At 33.8% G+C, this 26,259-nt stretch overlaps 1 protein-coding gene across 2 annotated transcripts in view; it reads left to right on the forward strand.

Annotated features, from left to right (window-relative positions):
* The window catches only part of VPS13B (vacuolar protein sorting 13 homolog B), an 864,307-nt gene that overhangs the window by 448,302 nt on the left and 389,746 nt on the right, over window positions 1–26,259 (forward strand). For both annotated transcript variants that reach the window (NM_152564.5, NM_017890.5), the window contains exons 24-25: window positions 5,839–6,059; window positions 20,024–20,227. In NM_152564.5, coding sequence (NP_689777.3) covers window positions 5,839–6,059; window positions 20,024–20,227 — 425 coding nt within the window. The remainder of the gene's footprint in view (window positions 1–5,838; window positions 6,060–20,023; window positions 20,228–26,259) is intronic.

The following is a 26,259-nucleotide window of genomic DNA, read 5'->3' on the forward strand; positions in this document are numbered from 1 at the left end:
TTTTCCCTACTTAACAGGCAACATTCATATTACTTTAATGGAAGTCAGTGAAAGCATTGACAATTTCTCATCCAGACCCATCACATTCCTAATAAAGAGCCTTTGCAATTCTCCTAGAATGTTTCTCTTCCAAATAGTCCCACAGCTCACTCTCTGAAGAATTACACTTTTTCAGAAAGGCCTTACTGGAGTATCCTATTTTAAAATGACACCACCATCAGCTAGTGTCCCATTACTCTGCTAATTGTTCTCCAGAGCTTTTATCAACATTGACATAAACTAAATATCAGTTAATAGTTGGTTATCTTTCTTTCTACCACTAGAATGCAAGCTCTATGAAAACAATGAGTACGTATTGCTCAGTGCTCTGTCCCTAGATCCTAGAATGAGGTCACATAATTTTAGCTCAGAATATTGGTTCAACAAAAGAATCTGCCTTACTAGAAGCAATCTTTATACTGCTGCCAATGCTTAAGACCCAGCCGTTTTTACTCATTCATTCCCCTCCCTCCCTTCCTTCCTTCCTTTCTTCCTTCCTTCCTTCCAACTTCCTTCCTTCCTTTCCTAACTCTCCCTTCCTCCCTCCCTTTCTCCCTCCCTCCCTCCCTCCATCTCTTCCTTTTGTGTACTGTATGCTATGCACTGTGTTTTTAGAGAACTTGCTTATAAACTCTTTATTTTCTCCATGGTGGCATGTAAGAATATCAAGATATCTTTTCATCTTGTCCAATCAAGATAACAAACTTTTTGGTTGTCAAATCGATTAGAACTTTTTTTTTATTCTTGACATCATTGGTTGATTCCTTCTTAAATACCTTTCTAACTTCTGGATAACCACTCTCTTTTGGTTTTCTGTGGATCTTGGCCATTCTTTCTGAACGTTCTTCATGGGCTGTTTTTCCCTTTCCTCTACCTTTCTCTTAAATACAGGTATTCTTCCTATGTACAGCTTTCCTAAACTTTAGCTATCATCTTTCACTGATAGTTTACAGATCTCTAAGATTTTCACATACCTGACTTCTTTGTTCCTTTCTTATATGCCCAGATACCCATTTTAGCTATACCTATATTAATGTTAAGGATTGAATATTTGTGTTCCCTCAAATTCATATGTTGAGCCCTTAACATCCAATGTGATGTTTATGAGGTGGGGCATTTAGGAGGTAATTAGGTTTCTGTGACATCATGAGGTTGGAGCCAGTGGGATTAGTACCTTAAGATGAAGAGGAAGAAATACCAGAGCTTCCTCTCTCTTGGTCGTGTGAGAACATGGCAAGAAGGTTATCTAATTGTTTTCCAGCCTCAAAGAGTGTTCTTACCAGGAACCAGATCTGCCAGCACCTTGATACTAGAACTCCCAGAGCTCTTAGAGATGGATGTCTATTGTTTAAGCCACTAGTCTATGGTATTGTGTTATAACAGCCTATGCTGACCAAGACAGCTATCCATTCCATGGCACTGATGTTACCGATAGGATCTTGTCTTATAGAGAGTAGTAGGAGTCTTCAATACCAATTTACCCTAAGTCACACACTGTTATAATATTCACATTTTTAGCAAAACTATAGGGTAACTACTAATACCTTTGTTGTTGGAAGGGCAATGCTATTCTTTTCAGTCCCTTCTTCTTTTAAAAGCAGTGATTATTCTAGTTTTGCATTGTTTACAATTGAAATAATGTTTTAGAGAATCTTAGAGTATTATATTTCTTTATGAATAATGAAATGTTGACAAACAAGTCACGATTAATCCAGTAGTGACTTTCAGAAGTAAATAATAGTTTTATTAGTAACATAGATTTCTATATGTAAAATGTTTTTCACAAATTTGAAATCAATTATCTCTTAATACTATTATCATTATTATTACATTTTGTACATGCAGTTCATTTCACATTTCCTAACACAAAACAGTATTCCAAATGTAGAATTTTAGTTACAGAGCAAATAAAACTGAAGGTTGCTCATTTTCATTTCCTTTCTTTCTATGCCTTTCAACTGTCTTCCTCTTCTATGAAGATGGACTAGATATCATTTATAATGTCTTGATTTTCTTTAAAGTACCTATTACTTAAATTAACATCACTTAGAATTAATAAACACTTTATCTTTAACTGTCTATTTTATTTTATTTTAAGATGGAGTTTCGCTCTTGTTGCCCAGGCTGGAGTGCAGTGGCATGATCTCGGTTCACTGGAGCCTCCGCCTCCCGAGTTTAAGCAATTCTCCTGCCTCAGCCTCCCAAGTAGCTGGGATTACAGGCGTGCACCACCATGTCTGGCTAATTTTTTTGTATTTTTAGTAGAGACAGGGTTTCTCCATGTTGGTCAGGCTGGTCTTGAACTCTCGACCTCAGGTGATCTGCCCACTTCGGCCTCCCAAAGTGTTGGTATTACAAGCATGAGCCACCGCTCCAGGCCTTAACTGTCTTTAAATAAGTTAAATGCTAACTAGTTTGGAGTAATAAACACTCTCAGCAATTTTGGCCTATTTATGTTTGTAGTACATCTTTCTCTCGAGTGTTATACTCACAATAGGTGGTAGAATGTTCCTGGTTATACTGGTTCATATTTGAAATACAGACCTGCCTGAGTCATACTGGTTTTTTGAATGTAAGAGAAAAAACTGGGAGAAGAGGAAGGCATTTTTGTTGTTGTTTCTTTTGACAAACATTCAGTGACTAAGGTAATGAAAACAAAGAAAACTGAGGAAAGTATCTCCAATATTGACCAGCATTCTTTCCACATTTGCTAAATAGATATTTGTAAGGTGATTCAAACTGGCCTCAAGTACATACACTTTTTCCTGTAGTGTAGTAGAGTGTTTTTTGAAAGGAAAAGACTGATTATCTTTCCAGAATATTGATTCCTACCCAAAAAGATTCAGGGTCATAAATTATATTTCTGTGATAAGGATTTGTATAAATAGTCATTGTTCACTAACCGCAACATTGACAAAAACGTTTTTTATATCTATATTATTAAAATTATTTTTGTGTCATGTAAACCATAATCTTTTGATTATAGCATGGTATGATATCAGCAACATGTGATACAATATAAAGAAATCCCCTGTAATTTTCTTTTTAAGTTTCACTCATTTGTAAGTTTAATATGTTCCTTTGGGGACCTCCTCCCTGCTCCACCCCTTGGCGTTGACACATGTAACGCATAGTCTCACTGGTTGTTCTTTATTTATTCATTTTGTCCCAAAGCTTTCTGTCATATTCACTTTCTTTCACATTATTTGGTCTGAATTACATCAGTGTTTGGTCATCATTTTCTTGAGAATTGTTTTGTTTGTATTCTTTTCTCTAATGATAATATAGAGGGGTAACAAATTCACATACAAAGAGATTCTCAATCTTCCTGCCTTGTTCTTTTTTTCTTATTCTTTAGACATTTTGCTTGAAAATTTTTTAATTCTGCCGGCAATATTTTCTCTAAAATGAAAGACTTAGATTATAGCATTACAACTTTCCAAGTAAAATAAAAATCTTAATCTTGAAGGTCAGCCCAGATTGATAGAAAGCTATATGAAGTTCTCAGAATAGTATGTGGTTCTGGCCAGTCATGGATGTCTGAACATATTTTATGGAGTGCCCAGAACATTATTTTGCCAGTATTATAAGTAGATAAGGTGTTTTCATTCTGGTGTGTGTGTGTGAAAGGAATACTTGTGCAGTTAATGTGTTTTGTGAATTTTTCTCACAGTGGGAAATTGTGGAATTTTTGTCATTGCATGTTAAAATTTCATCTTCTAGGTATAGTGTGCTTTTTAAAACAATCTGTATGCTAAATAAATGGACATGAAGTGTAGTACCTTGAAAGGTTTTTTTTTTTTTTTTAGGAGTTAGGGTATGATATGCTCAATTTCAATTTCCTAATCTGATTCCAAAGAAGACGCAGAAATATAACTGTGATAGTACCAATGTTATTTGGGATTTTTAAAAATTTAACAAATTTTAATCTGGTCCCCTTCCATCCAGCATAACCACCATTTAGCATTTCTTGGATACAATAGGATTTGAAAAAATATATATAGCTCACTACCAGCTTTAAAATATATAATCCGAACTCAGTCCAAAATATTTTAAGACAAATTTGGCAGAGCCTTTATTTTTTAAATAGCATGGAATTTGATGTAGGTTTTAAAATAATTTTAGAATTAGTTACAGATGATTTAGTTTGTCATTCTTCCTAGGGGGAAAAATATTTTAAATCTTAAGACAGACAAAGTACCATAGTGCTGACCACATATTATTATGCAGTTATCATTGTTTCCAGTCAAGTTATTGTGAACTATGTTGCTAGGTTTATTTTATTATGCAAGTCTCACTTTCAAAGTTTCTAATTTTATAATAATTTTATTAACTATATTTGGTCAAGACATTTTTAATGTTCAAACTTATAAGAATGTATCTTCTGGTACCTACTGAATATTGAATATATATTTAGACTCCTCTAAAATATTTGTAGTATGATCTACCTAGTAATTCACTTGGTATTTTTTCTTCAGTGAAAAAACAAGGGAAGACCATGAGTGCAGTGTGATCTCTGATCTCATCTCTGCCTGGGCACATCCATCACCCATAGGGGAAAAAATATATATGAAGGAAATATAACTAAGTGTTAATATTATTTATTATTGGGGGTGGCAAAATAGAAGGTAAATTATGAATGGTTTTGATATTTTCTTCTTTATATGTTTCCCAATTTATCTGCAGTATGGCATCTATTACCTCTCTAATTAGAAAATAAATGTCCTCAATTTGTTCTAAAATAATTGAATTACTAAAAATGATGTTCGTGTTATACTCTCTGTACTGACAAGCACTAGTAGAATTGTAAAGTCCAAAATACAAATGATATAAAATTGATATCACCATAATAAATGTTTAAAAATATTCTAATACTAAATGGACTTTTTAAGAGTTCAAAAATTACTTTCCTATATTTACAAGAAATAAATGGCTTTATCTCAAATGTTTATATTAATAAATTAATTTTACCTGAGATAAGTCAGTAAAAGCTCAAAGTATAAAAAGGGAATTTTGCTTTTAATCCTGAAATTTATGAATGCCAATTTTTTATCAAGTGCATTTTATTTAAAAATAACTCAAATGTAAGAATAATCTAGGGAACATATCAAAATTCATGCTGGGTCGTACCATCAGAGATTTTGATTAAGAAGGTCTAAAGTCCTAGGAACCTGTGTTTTAAACCAGCATCCCACATGAATTCTGAGGCAGGTGATCCAACAGACCATATTAGATTGTTTATTCTTTTCCTGTCTCATTCCATGGCAAGATCTATGGTCATTTTCAGTACCATAGATAAAATCAGGATTCAAGTTGAATCTGTTCCTCTACATTCTATCAGGCAGAGCTGCCATAACAAAGTACCATAAACTGGGTGGCTTAAAGCAACAGAAACATATTGTCTCAAAGTTCTTGGAGGCTACAGTCCAAAATCAAGGTATCAGATCACATTTATGTAATGTGATCTGTTTTCTCTGGCCTCCAGGGTTTGCATACGTCCCCAACAGTTTCACAATACAACCAACTAGGGTAAGGGAAGAAGAAGTTAGAACTTTTATTTTTATTTTTATCCCATATATTTAATTTCTGTTAATGTACGGTTTATAGTGTATATAATTACTGACAGAATTTTCAGTAGCATGTAAATTGTTTAGCACCGTGGTCTCAGGAATACTATATTCACTTTTTATGATGCAGTATTAGTCATAAATGTTAAATGTTTTACATTTTACTATCAAGTGAAAATTAATTGTCTTTTTGTTTGTGTGCTTCCCTATTCCCTTTTATCCCCTATATCAGGTGATGCTTTTCCTTGGACGATCAGCTTGCATAATTTCAGCATATATACCCTTCTTGGAAAACAAGTGACACTTTGCCTAGTGGAACCTATGGGTTGCACCTCCACTCTAGCTGTCACGTCTCAAAAACTGCTTGCTACGGGACCTGATACACGACATTCATTTGTTGTCTGTCTCCATGTTGACCTAGAGTCACTAGAGATAAAATGCTCTAATCCCCAGGTTGGTACATTTGATTTATGAAAGGAAATTTAAAGTAATGTGATTTAAAAGCAATTGTTATCCATTTTGTTGAAGGGTTTCTCTTCTCTTGAGTATCCTAAATTATTTTTAACTTGGCCATCAAGATCAGGGTGGTTAGATTAAGAATTGCTTTGAAGCTCTCTCAAGTTGTGTAATTTAAACTCTTCTGAAAATGTAATGGTGGCAGTACAAATGTATCTTTTGGCTGATGGAATGAAATCAGTTGCAGATGTAATGTTTTTAAACACTGAAGAACTATTTTACTGTAAGACTGGAAGAGTCTGTTGAACTGATCGAGTGTAATTTTCATTCAGATTCTCACTCAGAACTTCTTTGCTTATCATGCAATTTTTTTATTATTATACTTTAACTTCTAGGATACATGTGCACAACGTGCAGATTTGTCACATATGTATACATGTGCCTTGTTGGCGTGCTGCACCCGTTAACTCATCATTTACATTAGGTATATCTCCTAATGCTATCCCCCGACCCCCCAGCCCACGACAGGCCTGAGTGTGTGATGTTCCCCACCCTGTGTCCAAGTGTTCTCATTGTTCAATTCCCACCTGTGAGTGAGAACATGCAGTGTTTGGTTTTCTGTCCTTGCAATAATTTGCTCAGAATGATGGTTAGTCTATTTGAGGGTAAATAAACAAGGGTTAAATTGTATGCAACTAATTATTTGTGCAAACCCAGGTGATGTGAATTCATATTAAACTGTAAAATTACAAGATACAGCATGATTGGTCTATGACACCTGAAATCTTTTTCTTTTTAAAAATATTATTTTTAAAAAGAAATATTAAAAAAAATTTAAATATTATTTTTTAAAAACATTATTTGTTATATTTGTTATATTAATTGTTATAAGCCAATTTTTAAGAGTACTTTTTTAAGTAGGTTCAAGTTAGTTGAGCTTGATGGCACATGCCTATAGTCCCAGCTACTCAGGAGGCTGAGGCAGGAGGATCCTTGAGCCCAGAAGTTAGAGGCTGTAGTGTGCTATGATTGCACCCGGGAATAGCCACTGCACTCCAGCCTGGGCAATAAAGCAAGACTCTTTCTCTTAAAATTTTTTGTTTTGTTTTAATTCACTTTTTATGAAGCAGTATTAATCATAAATGTTAAATGTTTTACATTTTACTATCACGTGACAATTAACTGTATTTTTGTTTGTGTGCTTCCCTACTCCATTTCCTCCCCTATATCAAGTGATACTTCTCTTTGGACTATCAGCTTGCATTCCATATTTTATAGAGCGTCTTTTTTGAAACCATCCTCATCCTTTCTTTTCTTCTTGCCTCCTTCTCCCTACTATATACTATACTGTTTGATTTAACTTTTATATTTGAAAAGATTAGACCTAATAATATATTGGTAAGAGTCTTATTATAAAAATGCATTTAATTGGAATTATGACAAGGCAGCTTTATTAAAAGAACACTGTCATAAAAACTTAAGAACTCATCTTCCACTACAGTAAACATTATTTCATGTTTTCTTTCTTTCCTTTTTTTTTTTTTTTTTTTGACACAGGGTCTTACTTGGTCCCCCAGGCTGAAGTGCAGTGGTGCAATCACAGCTCATGCAGCCTCAAACTCCTAGGTTCAAGCAGTCATCCCATTTGAACCTTCTGAGTAGCTGGGACTATAGACACATGCCACCATGACCAGCTAATTTATTTCATTTTTATTTTTTTGTAGAACAGGGTCTCGCTTTGTTGTCTGGGATGATCTTGAACTCCTGGCTTCAAGCGATCCTTCTGCTTCAGCCTCTCAAAGTGCCGGGATTACATGGTGTGAGCACCATGCCATAAGGTCATTTATTTTAGAATCAGTAGTGAATACTTTTGAATGACACTAAATATTTCAGTTTAATGGCTATTTGCCTTTCTATTATACCCATAGTGATATAGAAGAAAATAATTATGAAATGACTATCTTCTTTGAGATTACTCTTTGAGTGCTGCTGCTAATGGTTGCTTTAAAGTGTTTTTAAAAGGAAAGGAAACTGTTATGGATTGAATTGTGTCCCCGCAAAAATATATGTTGAAGTTCTAACCTTGTGTATCTCAGATATAACCTTATTTGGTTATAGGTTTGTAACAGAAGTAAGTTAAAATGAAGTCATTAGGGTGACCCAATGTGACTGGTATCCTTATAAAATAGAAAAATTTGGACATAGACACATACAAAGGGAAGATGATGTAAAGATACACATGGAGATTGTCATGTGAACATGGAAGCAAAGATTGAACTAGTGGAGCTGTAAGCCAAGGAGCACCCAAGATGGATAGTTCCCACCAGAAGAAGCTAGGCAGAGAGCCAAGGAAGGATTGTACTCAGAATCTCAGAGGTTGCATGGCCCTACTGATACCTTGATTTTGGACTGTAGCCTCCAAGAACTTTGAGACAATATGTTTCTGTTGTTTTAAGCCACCGAGTTTATGGTACTTTGTTATGGCGGCTCTGCCTGATAGAATGTAGAGGAACAGATTCAGCTTCTTTAGACACTTTATCACAGAAGTTGTTAAAAAGGAAAACATAAGATATCTCTTAGCATGGCAGTATAAGCTCCCTCAGCCTATCTTTCCTACTGATTATTCCTATATACTCTAGGAAAAATTCAAAAACAAACAATTGACTACCCCCACATAAATGCATGTTCTCAACTTGTTTTAAAATAATTGAATTGCAAAATGACTTTAAGGCAGCTTTTAGAAATTTTTATGAGGTGCAAAGGAAAGCATACTAAATGAAAAGGCAATAAATCTCAATTGAGGAATAAAAAGTATAAAAAGAGTCAAATGGAATTTTAGAACTAAAAAATACAGTACCTGAAGGAAGAAAACCATATTATGTGGGCTTAAAGGTAGCTTGGAGATGATAGAAGAAAGAGTTACTAAACTTGAACATAGATCAGTAGAAATTACTGAATTTGAAAAAGAAAGGAAAAAAGTTTTTTTAAAAAGTGAACAGAGCTTCAATGATTGTAGAATAGAAAAGTCGAATATTGTGTACTACTTGGAGTTTCAGAAGGAGAGGATAAAAGGATTGGGATAGAAAAAAAAAAAAGAGGAAATAACTACAGAAAACTTTGCAAATTTGGGGAAAGAGATAGTCTTTACGCATCCAAGAAGTTCACCTAATCCCAAACAGGATAAACCCAAAGTAACAAACATTTGGACACATTGTGATTAAAATATTGAAAACGAAAAATAAATTTTTTAAAATTTTGACAATTTTGACAGCAGATATAGGAAAAGACACATTCCATATAAGCAAATAATGATTTGAATTAGAGTAGATTTCTCATTAGAAACCACAGGAGACAGAAGACATTGGAACAATATTTTGGAAGTGCTAACATAAAAGAACTGTTAACCTAGTGAAGATACCCCACAGAAATGAAAGAGAAATAAACCCATTTTTAGATGAAGAAAAGCTAAGAAAGTTTGTCACCAGCTGCTCTATTCTACAAGAAATGCTAAAGGAAATTCTGCAGGATGAAGGAAAATGATACTGGATGAAAAATTAGATCTTTAGGAATGAAGGAAAACCAACAGAAGGGATAAATGGCTGGGTAAATATATTTTTTAAAAAACTACTTAAAAATATGTGTGACTCTTGAAATCAAAAAGCATAACATTGTCTGCTGGTTTTTTCAGTGTATGTAGATGTAGCATACAAGACAACTATAGCATTAAGGCTAGTGGAAGATGGAGTAAAAGAATCTATGGTTGCCAAGTTTCTACATATCATATGAAGTGGTACAATATAAACTCTTAAGTAGACCGAAAGTTTTGGTGCATATGTTTTACTCTCTTAGGACAACTAATAAGAAAATGCAAAAATACAAAAGGATAAAGCCAAAAAGTCAATAGAGAAATTAAAATTAAATACTAAAAAATATTCAAAGAAGCCAAAAGAAGATGGGAAAAAGTAACAAAGGAACAAAAAATGGAGGGTAAAACAGTACAAAAAATAAAATGCTGGAGCTAAGCCAGCTATATTAATAATTACATGAAATATTTATGGTCTCAATTAGGAATCTGCAAACTAATGCCCATAGGCCAAATTTGCCCACACTCCTTTTTTACATATTGTCTATGGTTTCTGCCATGCTACACCTGCAGAATTGAATAACGGAACAGTATGGCCCACAAAGCCTAGAGTATTTACTCTCTGGCCCTTCACAGAGAAAGTTCACAAATTATTGGTGAAACACTCCAAGTAAAAGGCAAAGATCTACAGTGGGAAGTAAAACAAGATGCTACCGTATAATACCTAAGATTGTATTTTACTTAAATATAAAGAAACGTTATAAATAGATGCATAGTAAAAGATACACCATACAAACAGTCAGCATAAAAAGGCTGGACTTACTTATTTTAATCTTAGATAGAACAAATAAAAAGTGTGTTACCATAGATAGAGTGACATGAAACAAAAATTAACAGAATTAAGGGAAAAAGATAGAGAATTCTAGAATCGTAGTAGGAAATTTTTATAACACCTCTTTCAGCAATGGATAAAACAACTGGATTAAAAATAAATAATTGAAGATATAGAAGATATGAAAATACTATGCACTCACCTTGATCTAATTGGCATTTATAGAACAGTATATCCAACAACCGTAGAATGTGCTTTTTTACAGATATACATGGTCTCATTTTTAAGAGGATCAAAAATCACATGAAAGTATTATTTGACCACAGTCAAATTAGAAATTAATAATAATAAAATAGCTAGAAAAACTTTAAATATGTGGACATTAAACAACATGCTTCTAAATAATTTATGGAACAAAGACATAATTATTTGGGAAATTAGAAAATATTGAATGACACTAAAAAAAAACTGGATAAGCTAAGGCAATGTTTAGAGGGAAATATAACTTTAAAGACATATTAGAAAGGAAGAAAGATCTTAAATCAGCCATTTAAGGTTCAATTTTAGAAAGCTAAGAAAAGAACAAGAGAAACCCAAAGTAAGTAAAAAGAAGAAGATAATAAAGATATGAGCAGAGATGAATGGAACAGTTAACAAAAAAGTGAGCAAGAGATAGAAAATTAATAAACTGATTCTTTTAAAAGATCAACAAAATTGACAGTTCCTTAGCTAGACTGAAATAATAGAGAGGGAGAAAAAAATGCAAACTACTAATATCATGAATAAAGGGGAGTTGATAACATTAAAAGCATAATAAGAAAATAATGAACAACTTTATGCCAACAAATGCAACAACTTAGATGAAATGGAAATTTTCATTGGAAAAGAATTCCATCAAAGTTGACACAAGAAGAAAAGAGCAAAACCAAATAGCTCTATATCTTTTAAGAAAATTGAATGTGATGTCAAAAACTTTCCCATGGAGAAAACTTCCAATCTAGATGGATGAATTCTATCAAATATTCTGGAAAAAATAACATAAATTTTTCACAAATGTTTTCCCAGAAATGAAGCCTGAAGCATCCCTGCCCAACTGGTTTTATGAAGCTAGCATAACTCTAATAACAAAACTTCAAAAAGACTTTACAAAAGAAGGAAACTAGGTATTAATATCCCTCATGAAAATGATATATAAGTTCTTAACCAAATGTTAACAAATCAAAGATAACAATATCTAAAAGGCATAATATATATATTATACGTAATGGCCAACTAGGAATTATCTTAAAAATGCAAGTTTGGTTTAACATTCAAAAATCATTCAATATAATTTACCATAATAACAAAACAAAGGAGAAAAATCATATGATCATCTCAATAAATTCAAGTGAGACATTTGACAGAATTCAACATGCATTCATGATGAAAAGTCTCAGCAAATTACAAGTAGGAGGTAACATTCTCAAACTGATAGAGATCATATAAGGGAAAACAATGGTAAATATCATACGTAATGGTAAAATATTGAATTGTTTCCCACTAAGATCAGGAAAAAGTCCAGGATTTCTGCTTTCAATTCTATTCTGTATCATACTAGAGTTCCTAACCATTACAATAAACCAAGAAGAATTAATAAAAGATATAAAGATAAGAAATGAAGAAGTAAAACTGTTTGCATGTAACATATTTTATAGAAAACCCCAAAGGAGTCTAATAAACTATTACTAAAACTAACAAAACTCACCAAGCTTTTATGAGACAAAGTTAATGTATTAAAACCATTTGTATTTTTATGTACTAGCAGCAAACAACCGGAAAATGGAATGAAATCAACTTCACTCTTTACTAACATCCAAGAAACATAAATGAATAAATCTAACAAAAGATATCTAAGACCTCTATCCTGAAAACCATAAAGCGTTGCTGAGAAAACTTAACACCTGAAAGAAGTAAAGAGATATATCTCCTCATAGTTTGGAAGACTCAAATTGTTGATGGCTTATTGATCTTGATATTGGGCGTAATCAAGTTTAAAAAAATACTTTTTGAATGACACATTGAGATAGCAGAAAGCCCGACATTTGGAGAAGGTGTTTACAAGACATTCTTCAAACAATGGACTGTTATCCAATTTTTTTTTTTTTTTTTTTTGTGGAGACAGAGTCTCCCTCTGTTGCCCAGGGTGGAGTGCAGTGATGTGATCTCGGCTCACTGCAACCTCCTCCTCGCAGGTTCAAGCGATTCTCCTGCCTTAGCTTCCTGAGTAGCTGGGATCACAGGTGTGTGCCACCACACCTGGCTAATTTTTGTATTTTTGTAGAGACAGGGTTTCACCTGTTGACCAGGCTGGTCTCAAACTCCCAATTTCAAGCAATCCACCTGCCTCGGCCTCCCAAAGTGCTGGGATTACAGGCATGAGCCACTGCACCCGGACTAAAAATTTTTTCTACTCAATAACATGAAGATGAACAATAAATGATAAACATAAAGACAAATAATGGGGAAAAGACTTGAGCAGATACTTCACAAAATACTTATTTGAATAGTCAATAAGCATATGAAAATATGCCCAATATCATTATCAGGGGAAAAACGTCATGAAGAAATAGAAATACACACCTATTAGACTGGCTAAAATAAATGATAGACTCAATATGTGGACCAACTGGAACTCATCATACACCGCTTGTGAGAATGTAAAAATGATGTAACAACATTGGAAACCCCTTGACAATTTCTGAAAAAGTTCAGCACACACTTATCATACAACCCAGCGATTTCTCCCTATGTATTTCCTCTGAGAAACAAAAATATATATCCACAAAAGGTCTTTTACACAGATGTATATAGCAGCTTTATTTGTATAGCCCCAAACTGGACACAACTCACATGTTTATCATCAGGTGAATTAGTAAAAAAATTATGGCCTACTCATACCAAGGTAATACTAATCAGCCATTAAAGGGCTGAATTATTGATAAAATGCAAAATCATTGACGAATCTTGAAATCATTATGCTGACTGAAAGAAGCCAAGTGGAAAAAGAGTTCTTACTCCATAATTCCATTTACATAAAATGTTAAAATATGCAGATTACTATTAATATATAGTGATAGAAAGTAGGTTACTTGTTGCCTGGAAGTAGAACAGCGAGAGAGAATAAAGAGGGGGTGATAGGAAGAGGACATATTACAAAGGGATATGAAGATATTTTTGGAAGATACAGAACTGTTGTTTTTCTAAAGTCATAGTTTATACTTAGTGGTAGCTCAGTCTCTCTCTAAAGCTACATATAATAGACAGCCCCCTGCTACTTGGAGTTATCTACCAAAGTTCTTATAATTTAGGAAAGATAATTGTAGCTGTGAGAGGATAGTCCTACTCCACATGTTCTAGTTATCCATAGCTGTCCTAGCTAACACAAAAAATATTCTTAGACTCCACTATTATTCATATTTTTAAAATTTTCTTTACTTTGAGATACTTAATAGTTTTGTGATTTTTATGGTGTTACTAAATGTAATACTTTGGCTCAAAACTAGAGTACTTGGTATATTCTCTAGCTATCCACATTGTTTGGAGCTAAGCTCAGATTTTGTTGTTGTTTAAATGTAAACCAGCTCTAAGCAAAGTCATCAGCTAGATGGGGCTTGTGTTTGGCCTTGTATTTCCTTCCTATGTCTGTTCCTTCCCTGTTGTCCTTTCTTCAGTTATCTGGCTTCCAGAGTCACCTGGTTCCCAGTGCCACCTTTCTCCTGTTCTCCTGATGCCAAGAACCTTTTTTTCTAGAATTACTCCAAGGATGAATGAACCTTATGCACTGAGAGTTCATTTTTACTCGAAATGTAGTAACTCTTATCTCTTTATGTAATTCTACTTTATAAATCTCATAAAATCCTTGGAGTTACTCAATAAATCCTCATAAACAAAATTGTGTTAAACTGTCACCACCTGGTGTAACCAACATTGATCACAAGGTTGTTGGGAAGTCTGAAATATTTATGAAAATATTTTGTAAACACTGAAATGTTATATGAATATCATTTTATTAGTGTAGACTGACTCTGATTAAAATGTGAGACCATCTTTGCAAATTGGTATGAACATCCCTGGTGAAATGTAGCAACATTCCTGAAGAGATGTGAAACCACAAAATAACAGCACTGAAGAATCTATATAAACTAAAAGACTTGGAGAGGGATTAATACTCTTTGATATCTTCAAGTGAGAGATTAACCTAAATTTTAATGACAAAACATGAGACTCTAAATAAACCTCTTTGTTTTGAGTGATTGCTTTAGCTTATGCTTCCAGACTCTCTTTGGATGCTTTCAAAATTCCAAAGGATGGCTTGATTTTTTTTTTTTTTTTCCATATGCAGTAAGCAAATTCTTATTGAGTGCTACATGTAAGGCAGACATGAAGATGAATAAAACAAACACGCAAAGAACGCCATATCTACATACCTCATAATCCAACTATTGAAAGCCACAAGTAAAGAACAAATATTGAATATATCACAAGAAAATACATGTATGATACCTTACGTTCAGGGGAACCAAGATTTGATTAACAGCTTACTTCTCGTAAGAAACCACGAAGGCCAGAAGAACATCTTTAAATTAGGAAAATAAAAAATAAAACGTTGCAATCAATTTAGAAGTTCTTAATTAAGCAAAAATAACTTTTATAAATGAAAACTAAAGAAAAACATTTTCAGAGAAAAGACTCTATCACCAGTAGGAACTGCATACAGGAAGTACTAAGGAACATTTTTCATGCTGAAAGGAAATGACACCAGATGGCTGAGCATCTCTTCAAATGTTTATTGGCCATTGAGTTTGCTCATTCGTGAATTGACAGTTTACATTAATTTATATTTTTCTAATTACTAATAAGATTGAGCTTTTTTCACATGTTTATTTTCCAGTGAATTTGCTCTTTTGTGATTTGTTAATTCATATCATTTAGCCAGTCTTCTATTAAATTCATTTTTCTTAGCAATTTGTAAAAGCTTTCTTTAGGCTCTATAAATACAAACCCCATAACTGTAATGCAGTTCATTTGCTTTTAAACTTTTTGACATCTTCTGCCAGAAATTTAATCTTTCATGGTCAAAGATACCTATATATTCCTTTTTATTTTCTGGGTATCCTGTCTTAAAAGGAGTATCATGGACCCCTAAAATGCACGCAGACATACACATGACCTAAAAATGTCTTTTACTGTTTTTTCTTTTAAAATTAATGTCTCAGAATTTCTTTCTTGTGCTTTCTCATTTATCCATCTGTTTTTGTTGTTTGCTTTTTGTTTTTAAAATATATTTGTTGTAAGGAAGAGGAGCAAATCAATACTTCTTGTCCTTTTTATACCATTGGCTAAAAGCCGTGAGCCAATTCTCAGAATATTATATAGACCCATTAAGATTGCATACTGAGGTATACTGTCAGAAGGTTTGTGAGCTTTTGACTGTAGCCAGTGTGTACGTTTCTTGATTACATTTTATGGAAATAATTCCTACTTAAATACCTTTCTTTGACTTATCCATTAGGATGACATCAGAATTGTGACCCTTGTACACTATTGAATCTATTTCATTGTTGCCTAGATAGAGTACCTTCATGTAGTTAATGTACTTTAAAAATAGAGAAGGCTATGTATGTAAGGTAGGCTGAGAGCAAATTTATTACTGTATCAGACATTACTGTCTGTCTATGTTATTCCTGGAACTTTCATTGCCATTCAGTGTTCTTAGACACTGTGTATATTTATCTGGGTTGAATATTTGGTGCTTTCGTGACTAGAAGAGATTTCTGTTATCCATTCCCTTCATCTTAACTATGTGACCAAAGTTACCCTGTTTCCTTTAATGTCTTTAGACACCAGTATCTCAGACCCTAAATACTATGCTTATTCCAAAGTTAAATGAGCCTGTCCTGTAATCCCAGCGACTTGGTAGGCTAAGGTGGGAGGATCACTTGAGCTCAGGAGTTTGAGACCACTTGAGCAACATAACAACATGCTGTCTTTATTTAAAAAAAAAAAAGAAAAAAGAAGCCCATAGAATCTTTTTTTTTTTTAATGTGATGAAACTTCTGTTTACCTTTGGCCAACAAACTGATACATTGTTTTCTTATAGGCATTCACAGGAACATAACACTTTCTTAGCATTTTGGGGTTTATATATGTGGAACTGAGAAAGAACAGATTTATGCCAGTTTTCTATTCATTTATTTATCGTTTTTATTGCTGTTATGTTGATCAGTTTGCTGTATAAGAACACAGGCTTTGAGTTTAGACAAAACTGGATTTGTATCCTTGCACCACTCACCCATTTTTTATTTCTCTGAGCTCTTGATTTTTTTTTTTTTTGAGACAGTTGTTTTTTTGTTTTGTTTTTTTTTTTTTTTTTTGTTTTTTGTTTTTTTTTTTTTGCCGAGGCAGGTGTGCAATGGTGTGGTCTCGGCTAACTGCAGCCTCCGCCTCCTGGGTTCAAGCAATTCTCCTGCCTCAGCCTCCCAAGTAGCTGGGATTACAGGCACCCACCACCACACCCGGCTAATTTTTTGTATTTTTAGTACAGACGGCGTTTCACCATGTTGGCCAGGCTGGTGTTGAACTCCTGACCTCAGGTGATCCGCCTGCCTTGGCCTCCCAAAGTGCTGGGATTACAGGCATGAGCCACCACACCTGGCGCGAGCTCTTGATTTTTGTTTTAACTTTTAAACGAAATTAAACTGGACAAGTGTAATCTTTTATGTGAAAAGTTGTTTTTGTGTAAAAAAAAAAAAAAAACAAGTTTCTGAAACTGAGTTTTAATGATTAGTAACAACCTACATGCCAAATGAAATAGTTTTTCTAAGATTGTATTAACTTAGAGCTCTCTGCATTGTTCAACCCAGATCACTAAATTGATTGGTGAAATTCCGTTTCTCCTTGATTTCTGTTGACATTGTATATCCATGTTTTTTCTTCTTCCTCTCTACCTTTAGTGATTCTATTCTGACACTATCTCCTGATACTCTGCAAAATGGGCCCTTCCTCTCTAGCCACCTAGGGACTCTTCATCAGCCCTGTATCTTGTCTTGATCATCCCCTGCGCTTGGCTTTTGTTCATTCTGTATTTCTGAGTAGAATGACTTTGTACTCATCTAAATCCTGTCTCTCCTTCAGGAATATACCTTGAGGCTTTTCTCAGCCTCTCCAGTGAAATTGAATCTTTTTTATGAACAGCTATAGATTAAATGAAAAAAGTGTGTGAATAAATTTTTTAAACATAATGTTACATATTTATATTCAGTCAGCATTCAATACACAAGACATTGTTGATATTCAGACACCTTCATACAGAACTCATGTAAAGCCACCTCACATGGTATTTATTTTTTAGGGATTTTTAAAAAATGTTTTATTGAGGTTTACTTAACATACAATAAACTGCATGTTTAAATTAGCTAATTTGTTAAGATTTGGCATACATACACACATGAAACTACGCCCACAATCTAACATCTTCAAGTTTCTTTATGTTCTTATGCAGTCCTCCCTCCCATTCCTCCCCATCACAGGTACCATTGTTTCTGTCATTATAGACTAATTTTTGTTTGTTTTTCTTAGCCTAGCTTCTTTCATTCTGCATAATTATTTTCAGATTAATTCACATTGTTGCATGCATCAATAGTTTATTTCTTTTTATGGCTAAACAGCATCCTGTCATGTGAATGTACTTCAATTTGTTAACTACCTGTCAATGTATATTTGGGATTTTCTCCAATTTTTGCCTATTACAAATAATGCTGCCATGAACATTTGTGTACACATCTTTGTATGGACATAGGCTTCATTTTTCTTAGGAAACTACTTAGGAGTGGAATAGCTGGATCATATACGGTAGGTATATGCTCTTTTTAAAAACTGTCAAATCGTATTCTAAATTTTACATTCCTACCAGCAGAAAATGAGAGCGTTAGTTACTCTACATCCTTACTAATACTTGATGTAGTTAGGCTTTTTAATTTTAGACATTCTAAACATGGGAAGTGGTAGTTCATTGTGGCTTTACTTGGCATAGTGTTTTAGCACAACTTGAAGGATAAAAGTTGAACATTTATCCTACATGTTTTTGCCTTATTTCTTTAAACCTCTGAATTTGGAAAGTCTGAGTTCTGTTAGCAACTTTCTTCTTTGAAAATAAAAATACGTTTAAAGTGTGTGTCATGGTTTGCATGGCACTTTAAACACACAGTGTACTCGTTGCCATTCAGGCACAGTATTTTCTAACACTTAAAGGAATCAGAAGTAGTGACAATAAAAGCAGCATCATTTCTCTTAAATAAATACCCTTAGAAATACTTAGAACCTGTTTTGGCTTTTTGTTATTGTTGTTTGCACTCTCTTTATTTATCAGTTCTAATTATTTAAGAAAAAGCAAAATAATCTTTTTAAAAACTGGTTTGCAACAAAATTGTTTCTCTATAGAGAGAAACATTCATAATTATGAAGGACAAAAGAATTTGAACAAATATTTTTCTAAGACCTTTTTAATAAGATTTTTAGCTACTAGATTACTTTTAAACAAAAATAGCTGTAACCTGAGATTTGAAACTTCATTACACAAAAAACAGGAGAAAATTGTACACCCAAGTACTGTTTTATATCAAATGAGGATTGACAATAGTGTTTTTATGCATCTGTTCTGCCCACATAAGAAGCCAGCTTCATCATCTGGATGTGTCCTGGGGCTGAAACTTTTTATAAATACGAGAATTTCACTTTTTTAAAATGGCAAGCAGAATATGGTGTCCAGCTGTGGATTTGCTTACATATTGTGCTTGCATTTTTTCTTCCTGGGCTTGTTTTATACAGTATATGGCACTACGTTGTCATACAAATTTCATGATTAATGCTTATTTATGAAATCTTGTGTAAATATCTTAGGACTCAGTCAAACAATGTGCAAATTAAACAGTTTTTTCTCCGAATATTGGAATGACATCTCCTTTGGGAATAGTAGGTTGGATATGTTCTTTATCTATTAAAAAAAAGTCTCATATGTAACATTTGCCTTTTACTGTTCAATGTTATATCATTCTTTTTAAATTTGTTTTGTGGGACAAGAAATCCAGTTTCAAGAAATCACAGAGAAAATTAGATGTGGAAATTAAGATGGTAGTTATTTCATATTATGCTAAATAATTACATTTACTAGAACGCCTTTGTTTTTTAATTTTGATTCTGTCCTCTGGTTGAGAGGCATTTGTATGTGTTCTATTGTTCACATATTGAAATCAATCTACTGTTTGCTAATAAGCTGTGCTTACATTACTGTGGTTTTAATCCACAGGAATGCTAGGTTGATGAAAATATCACAGAGTGAGTATGAAGCAAATTTCAAGTGTAAGTTAAAGTGATCAGTGATGCATTGGTAGAGTTTGTTTTATAAATTTTATTTCTCTGGAATAGTTAATTTTCTCATATTATTATTTTAGTGGATTGAAACTGGAAGTTGAAAGACTTGTTTTCTTTTCTTTTTTCTTATGCTCTCAGGTCCAGCTCTTCTATGAACTAACTGATATCATGAATAAGGTCTGGAACAAGATTCAGAAGAGAGGCAATCTCAACCTATCTCCAACCTCTCCAGAGACCATGGCAGGGCCTGTTCCTACTTCTCCAGTTAGAAGCAGTATAGGCACAGCTCCTCCAGATACCAGCACATGCAGCCCATCTGCTGACATTGGGACTACTACTGAGGTAAGTGTTTTTGAAAATCCTGTTACAAAATGAAGGTTAATATATAACACAGATTTCCAGATCATGGTTTAAAATGAAGATAACCTCACTACTGTGAAAACTGATAGATTCTGAAGGTTCAAGAGGAGCTGTGGCAGCAGTGACTGTCTATTCCTTTTAGCTACAAGAATTTCTGTTTTTAATCACTTTTAGCAGCTTATGGGGTAGTTCAGGATAGTGCAGGTTCTGTGAAATGGTGAAAACTGAGACACAGTAAAGGTATGTTTCCTCGGAAGTATGGAAATGTAGAAACTGAGTGAAAAAGAGACTCATGCTTCCCCTTTCCCTACCTCTGTTCCGCTACACCTTTTTTGAACCAGGTGACTATTATTATCTAGTCACCTGGTTTAGATTAGTGGTTTTCAACCCTATCAGACCCAATGCCCTCTCCTCTTCCTCCCAATTATAAAAGCTTTTCTTTTTATTTTTAACGTCCTAACCTAGCATGCCAGTACCTCTTTTGTATAAGAAATATTTTATAATGCCTCCTTTACTATCCTGATATGAAAATAAAAATATAACCAGAAATGAAAATGAAAAATAATGTAACTTACATATACATATAATTTCAAAAATATATAATGTCTTAAATAAAAGGAAAGTAATTTAAGATACAGTATTATGTACTTCAATATATAAATGCCTGGGCATGACTACATTAGAAGACATAACGGAATAGTCACATGCAATTACTGTGAATATGATGGCTGCAAATAGACTTGTACAGGTCTGTATTTAGTACCACAAGTGGTATTGCTGTTGGTGACATGATTTTCTAAACTAGTGACAAACTCTTGGTAAAGTTTCAAACACAACACAGTTCAATCTTTCATTATAGTAGTTGAATTTTGGAACTTCTAGTGTATATTGAAATCATGCAAAAATGAAGAAAAAAGTGTTTAGATTTGAAACATTTTATAAACAGGATTTTTATCTATGTGAATATGTATGAGACAGTCTTCATTTTTCAGGACTGCCCTATTCTACACAGGATCTCTTGAACCCCTAACTCCTAACCTTTAAATCCCAATAATGATACACAAACATTGAGTCAACAAAAAATACCCCCATTCATTTCCAAAACATTGCTTAGAGAACAGAACTTTCCCCAACGAGAGCAACTGTTCTATAGTAGATGGAGGTAGAAGTTAACGTTTTTTTGTTTCTGCATAAAGACACCATTTCCTCTGGGAATAAAGCTATTGGCAAAATACAGAATGGGATAAGAATCAAGTAAACGGGATGTTAATGTCTTTCATCTTACAAATCAGTAAAAGCAAACAAACTCAGTTAAAAGGGCAAATTTCAGCTGCTATAAAGCATTTAACACTTTAGAGTACATCTATTTAACCCCCTGTACAAGCAACTTTTCTATCTTGCCCATTCCAAATCTTAAGAATCACAGTAACCTAGGTGATAAGATTATTCTTTCTCTTTTTTCTTTTTTCTTCCCAAATGAGGAAGCGATAGGAAGTCTAGAAATGAGCCTGTATCAAGTTAATGGGACGTATCGTTTCTAGAGTAAAAGCAGTGAATTCTTTCTTGAAGAGTTCCAATATTATTAGCATACAAAATCTTTTAGAATTCCTGCAGTAAAAAAAGCTATTTAACTTTATTGAATACAGCAGTTTCCACACTTACTTAACCAAAAGTTCATCTTTCTCAGTCTGCCTATTAACACTTTACAAAATATATTTTGTGAAATCCTTTGGTAGAGTAATCAAAGTTTAAGGTAATCAGTTGCTAGACAAAGATAATACAAGTGAAAATGATAAATACAGTTAAATCTTAGAGACATTTTAGTGGCTGAAAGGAGAGTGTTCCATTAAACAGTTGTTTTCTAAGTACTGTGTGTACAGGAATGTCTAGAAAAACATGACATCCATTTTGGAGTGCTCACTCAACTCTTTTGGAAATGTGTTTTTTTGAAAGAAACATTTAAAAGACATTTCAAGTCCAGGAAAGACAGGGCTCACATGAAATGGTGACAGCTTTTGGTCATACATCTAGAGACTGCCGTTCATACAAGGTATAGTGTGAATCCTACACTCTAGCATTGTGCAGTGTACAAACAACACAAAAGGACATGATGGCCCTGATGTGAAATGTAATAAAAATAAAATAAAATAAAAACATGCCCTACATTTATAGAGGAAGGATTAATAAATTCATTCTAAGAGGTCTGTGGCTATTTTGTGGAGAAAATAATATTTGAGATGATGGATATTTAAAAATGAGTAAGACATGAATAACAATTTTGTTTTACTAGATGTATAATAATACATACTAGAAGAATAGTATCTTCATCAGCCAAAGTGAAGAAGTTAAGAAAGGGGAAAATTTTGCTAAATTGCTTAAAAAGAATTAATTCTGATTTTAATAATACCCTTATATGACTGAAATTCATTTCAAATTAGAAAGTTGAGGATTTTTTCTGATTGGGTTATAAAGACAAGTAATGAAAATGCTCATAGTAGATTTGTTTGTTTTGTACTATCTATAGATTTAATCTGATCTGTATCAGATTTGAAAGATCTGAAAATGACAAAATTTTCAAAATGTACCCTCTTCTCTTATTTATATAGTGTGGTCAAGAAAAGAGGTGATTACTACTAGTCCAATATCAATTTGAAATCCACTTAGGAAGATTATTTGCTGAGAAGTACCTTAAAACAATTTAGCTGATTTGTTTTTCATAAAGGGCAGGAAGATTTTTATGAAGATGGTTATTCACTATTGAAGCTACTGAATGAAAACAATGACTATGTTTTCTTATGTCATCATTTACTGGCTAATTTTGAAAGAGGTAAATTTAAACCCAGATGCACACATAGTTAATCTTAATCTACCTGTAAATATTTTTTGAGAGCAAGAATAGAAATTAAACATGAAATATTCGATAGACAAACACCTCCTTATAGGTTGCAAGGTAAAGTTAGATCAATGCCTTAAAATTGATCATCATATCATAACCATCTGGGTGACAGAGTGAGACTGTGTCCTGTCTCAAAAAAAAAAAAAAAGAGATAATGCTTGTAAAATACTTAGTTTAGTGAGTACTCCAAAAGGGAAAGCTAATGTAAATCTCCTTCATAAAATTTTTGCATTAGGCCTTGAGTACACGCAAATTTCTATATACACAGGGTACCATTTAAACATTTTCAATTTAGTGAGTCTTCATTTTATGTTCCCAGCTCTTGTAAAGTCAGGAACAACACTAGGATTTACTCACAACAGAGCAGGCAAGTTGACAGTCAGTGATATGCTTCATGTAACTTGTTAACAGATTTTTGAAACCCTACTAGGGTTAACTAATTATGTCATTTCAATTCAACTTTTAATTTTCTCCTTAGCCCTAGGCAGAAGATTCTGCCACACTAATCAAATGCTTGCTGTACCATAGTAGCCCTATGCTGTTATTTGTTATATCATTTTGTTATAACAAGAGAGGAAGGAGCTATAATTATAAAATTATTTCAGTGTAACAATGTTATTTAAATTCATTAACACCTTATTAATAAGGCAATAAAAAATATTAAGAACATATTTATGAAAGATGAATTATAACTCAGAGCTTGCTAACGAGTGCGCTGAAACACCATGAGATGTGTCACAGCTATGCTGAGACATGGATTACCTTGGCCTTTAGAGTCTTTGGATGGGACTAGGGTGAATGAAGCTTTCAATGCTGTGGAGATTTTTCTGCTTACCACAGATACAAATAACATTTCCTACATATGCAATGATATGAAAAAGGTTGGGAAGTACTACTATAACTATCCACAACACATATATTCTATATTTAAATCTGTATACAGATAGTTATGTTGTTGACATGATAGTGTGGCTAATAGAAAATATTCTTATAATCAACAGATTATCAGGACAATGATTATTACTAGGAGGAGAGAAGGACTTCTAGAGCTTTCCAGGAATGCTATGTTCAAAGAAGCATAAAGGCTTTTGAATAGATTAAAACAAACAAAAAAGTATTTATATAGTCTCCTCTTCATATTGTTCATTCTTTTATTTCTTAACATTTTAAAATAATTGGTTTATAGTCCTTTTAGATTTCTTAACTCCATTTATTGGAGATGCTAAGTTTTTGTTATATCTGCTGACTCTCCCTTTTTCTGGTTCATTTTCTCATGTGGTTTGTAATATCTTATTGTGAACTCATCTTCAACAGTTTAATTTTTCTGTGTGATTCCTATGAGCCCTCTGTTGCAGAATTGTCCCTACAGAGCATTTTGACTGCTTTTGCCAGGGTGCTAGAGATTTCAGGGAACCTTGGGCAGTTTTTAGGTTTCTTTATCAACAAGGGTTTGTCTTATCATATAAGTAGTATGCACGACGTCCCACACAAGCAAATAATAGCATTTAGTTTCTCATGTTTGTTTTGGTTTTTTTTTTTACTATAGTTGTCCAGGCTGGAGTGCAGTGGCGCGATCTCGGCTCAGTGCAACCTCTGCCTTCCAGTTTCAAGCGATTCTCCTGCCTCAGCCTCCTGAGTAGCTGGGATTACAGGCGCCTGCCACCACTCCTGGCTGATTTTTGTACTTTTACTAGAGATGGGGTTTCACCATGTTGGCCAGGCTGGTCTGGAACTCCTGACCTCAGGTGTTCTGCCTCCCAAAGTGCTGGGATTACAGGCGTGAGCCATCCTGCCCAGGCATGAATGATTTTATCATGCCACCACTTTCACCTCTTCTCTGTCCTAGGAATCTGAAAAACATCCATGGCATTTCTTAGCCTGCTGAAGCCTAGTGTCTAGTGTATCTTTTGCTTAAAAAGCAGCTCTGTTTGCCTCCAGGCTTTATGCAAAGAACTCCCCAGTTCAGACTCTACACTATGTCTGCAGTCCCTGAATGAGTGTTTAAACACCATTGCTCAACCCCTCGACCCTTATCTGAGTTTGATACTTCTACATACTCCCAAGGACTGTTTCCACTTGTTACCCTGACTTTGTGTTTCCTCTTCGTTTCTGACACCATAGTATTTGTCTTTATTTCAAGTTTTGCTATCGTATTAGAAAAAGATGGTAGTCTGAAATTGGAGTTTATGAGAATTTAGTAAAAGGTCAAAGATGTTAACTGGGAAGGGAAATCTCAGTTAACAGGAGATGATTGAGTATGCTGGAGCAGTTGGTGACACCAGTAGGCTTAAAGGGCAGGAGAGAGAGTTTATCAGAACAGGGAATAAATACCCAGACTTCATTCTCCACTTCCTCTGTCTCCTGCCACTGTTTCTCATTGACCGAAACCAAGAAAAAAAAAAAAAAAACAGAGGACCAGGAAATCCATTCATATTGTTCACATAGATTAACTTCCCAAGCACAGAGGGTAGTGAAGGGTAGAGAGTAGATCTAGAGGGCCAAAGAAAAGATATGTAGCACTTTTCGGTATTAAATTCACCTGGCATTTTATCCAGAATATCTGTGCTGTGGTAGTACAAATGGTAAATGTTCATTTCAGCTTAGTCTCCATATTGTTAGTATTAAAATTTCTTACTAAGAACTAGTCTTTTTAATCTCACTCTCCTTGTACATATTAACTTCTCAATCCTATCAATTAACTTCTTTGGTGATTTTTTTAAATTGTGGTAAAAAAATATACATGGTAAAATTTACCATTTTAACCATTTTAAAATGTACAATTTAGTGGCATTAGGCACACTCACAGTGCGTAGCATAACCACTATCTATTTCTAGAAATTTTCATCATCCCAGACAGAATCTCTATCCCCATCGAACAACTCTATCTTCTCCTCTCCCTCCATCCATGGTAACCTCTATTCTACTTTCTGTCTCTATCGATTTGCCTATTCTAGGTACTTCATATAAGAAGAATCGTATGGTATTTGTCCTTTTGTGTCTGGCTTATTCTACTTTGTGTAATATATTTAAGGCTCATTCCTTTCTTTGTGTGTATCAGAATTCCACTCCTTTTTATGGCTGAGTAATATTTCATTGTATGTATATAACACATTTAATT

Source organism: Homo sapiens, chromosome 8, assembly GCF_000001405.40.
Source record: "Homo sapiens chromosome 8, GRCh38.p14 Primary Assembly".
NCBI classification, from domain to species: domain Eukaryota; kingdom Metazoa; phylum Chordata; class Mammalia; order Primates; family Hominidae; genus Homo; species Homo sapiens.